Source organism: Homo sapiens, chromosome 2, assembly GCF_000001405.40.
Source record: "Homo sapiens chromosome 2, GRCh38.p14 Primary Assembly".
NCBI lineage: Eukaryota > Metazoa > Chordata > Mammalia > Primates > Hominidae > Homo > Homo sapiens.
Window position 1 is genome coordinate 131,428,411 of NC_000002.12, and position 3,204 is coordinate 131,431,614.

Sequence of the window (3,204 nt, forward strand, 5' to 3'; positions counted from 1 at the left end):
TCCCTGTCAAGGATCCACAATGGAGCAAGCTCAGGAGACAAAGCAAAGCAAGTCATCACCATTACTAAGCTGGAGCTCTGGCCCCGAGCACTTCTGTGGACCTCTGGTCAATCAGGCTAGACCAAGTGGAGGAAGTGGAGGCCAAAGTAGCCACAGGCCAGAGCAGGTGAAATTACTAGTTCTGTCCATTCTACTGCAAGTCCCAACACAAGTAGGTTTTACCACTCCCAGTTCAGCAAAAGGGCACACAGAGTAGACCCACCAGCAACAGAGGAAAAGGAGCAAGGACAAGGAAGGAAGTTTGTGCCTTGGTGCCCGGAGCTGCCTTCCCCAGACCTTGGCTGGTAGAGCAGTAGCCGATCTGCATGAGAGGAACACCCAACACAAGACAGAGAGATTTAGCCAGGCAGAATCCAATAAACTCAGAATGATCCCTCCAGACTAGGTGGATTTTGTTCTGATTGGAAATTTTACTTCTCAAGTAATTTTTAAATCATAACTGAATATCCAAAATGGCAGATTTAAGTATTCCACTCACTGGAAAGGTTTGAAACACATTGTGAAATAATGCATGGCTTTTCTGGTTTACTTCCCAGTCTCCTAAATTAAATTGCTTAGTGCATGTCAGCCTGTGAGGAAGGCTGTGCCATGTAGTAGAAAGGATGAGGGTTTGAAATCATATGTACCTGAGTTCAAATGTGATTCAATCCCTTATTAGCATTGTGTGACCTTCAAGTCATTTGAACAGTCTATGAGCCTAAGTTTTCTCCACTTCTTACAAACAGGCAGTGTATGGGGGTTGTTAGGGTTAAATGAAACAGCATTTGTAGTGTGTAGCGCACAGCTTTGCAAGCAATAAATGCTCAAAATGTGAGATGCCTTCTACCTCTGGCTTTCCCCTGAGATCCTGACAAATCCTCCATGGACCAACAAAAATCAAACCTGTATGACTGTATGCATCTGCTATGGATTAAAGCTGGGTCCTGGATGCCTACAAAGGCAGTGTCCTCTATGGGCTCCCCTGGACCCATCAGCTGGACCATTCCCTAAGGTGTCTCTGTCTGTTCCTCATTTTTCACACCCATGTGCAGAAACATGCAGCCACCCCTAGCCACACTCAGGCAACATCAGGTATGAGATACATGTAGTTTTTTTAAAAAGCAGTAACTTCCCCTTAGTAAATATACCTGTCATGAGCCCTGGCATTTTGCACTTAACATTTTAAAGACAGAAGAAAATAAAAGTAGTCTCAACCTCAGTCTACATCAATGAGCACTTGTTTTGTGTCAGGTTCTCTCCAGAGTTTTTTTATTCAAGCACAGCAACCACCGTTGAATTAGATAATATCATTATTATGCCCACCTCATAGGTAGAAGACAGAAGTCCATATCAAATGGCCTTGACTTGGAAGGATAATTGATAATTTTCTTTTTTCTTTTTTGAGAGAGTTTCACTCTTGTTGCCCAGGCTGGAGTGCAATGGTGCGATCTCAGCTCATGCAACCTCTGTATCCCGGGTTCAAGTGATTCTCCTGCCTCAGCCTCCCGAGTAGCTGAAATTACAGACATGCACCACCACACCCAACTAATTTTTGTATTTTTAGTAGAGATGGGTTTTCTCCATGTTGGTCATGCTGGTCGATAATTTTCAACTAGGATTTGATTTACTGGGTACATGCTATTTGTGCATTACTTATAGAAGTCATGTTGACTAAGTGAAGAAAAGACTGAGGAATATATTAAAACACATTTCTCTAAAACTGATTTTGAATGCTATGAGATGAGAATAAAACTATTACAGTTTCACCTTTGTTGTATTGCCAGCAATGCCTGTGGGCTTTTAGGCTATGGTGAAACCTTATCTCTACCCAAACTTCATGGTCATACTTCCATTTAAGCACAGAAAAGGTATAAAGTCACAATACATAAAGTTATTTTTTGGCACTGGGAATAAGAAATGCCCATCAGCAGTTTGCCAATCTGTGCAAGAATTATCAGTCACTGGCCATCAAAAGTCATCAACAAGCTCATGACCATTCCAATTCCAGGCTTTGAGAGGTTCCAGGGCATGCAGGAGTAAGGTAGAAAAATGTTGCCACCCACTTCTGCCAAAAGTCTGGCCCATGAATCAGAAAGCCAGCAGTCATCTCCTTTACTGAGAGAGAGTTGTATTCGTGGCAGCTGAAGCCACCCCTTTATCCTCAATTTTCACCCCACTCTTCTTCAACAGCACCTCTTTCCCTGAATCAGTGTCAGATAATACAAATTGTAGCAGCATCCAAGAGTGGAATAGGATAGGTAATGGGGCCATTGTTAACATTTCATGAAGTCTGCAAAAGAGAGAAAAAGATCTGAGGAATGTAGTTTTCAGGCTAAAGAAGTATCGCTGGCTCCAAATGATTAGGAACCGTTTGTTTTTTATAATACTATGGATCTATTTTTTCTTCTTTAAAAACTAAAAGTAGCTTACATTTTACACAAATCTGATAATTAATGACATTAATGAGTAAAATATCTGATTGCTAATTAGATAACCCATTGTATTCATTCAGATTTGTTGAGCATTCATTTATTGAGCATTATTACTGAGGCCCTCCTACATGCAAAACGTTCTTCTAGGCACTGGGGATACAGTCAAGGATACAGTCAAAGTCTTCCCTTCAGGGAGCCTGCATTCTGCTGAGGGGGAGACAGACAACACACAGACAATTTAAAAAACCAGAGAGTGAAAAGAACTACCCAGAGTGGATGGAATGGAGTGAATAAATCGTTCCTTATGATGAGAATAGTCAGGGAAGGCCTTTTTGAGGAGGTGCCTTTTAATTTGAGGTTCCAATATCGGGAAGAAGCTGGTCAGGAGAAGTTCCAATGGGTCACATTTCTAGGTAGAGGGAATAGTTGAAGCGAAGGCTGTGGCTGCAAGGAGTTCATTTTGTTTGAGGAACTGTACAGGCCAAGTAGATGGAGCTTGGTGGCTGAGACCTTCAAAGAGAGCGGATCCAGATGAGGCAAAAGAGACCAGGGAGGGCCAGACCTCACATGCTGGAGTGGCCACAGCGAGTCTGATCTTTTTCTAAGGCCAACGGGAAGTCATTGGAAGGTTTTCAGTGATGACTCACAAGATCGGATTTATATTTTACAAGATCCTCCTGCCTGTTTTGTGGAAATGGATGGTAGGGGTGTGAGAGAGAAAGCGAGAGGTCAG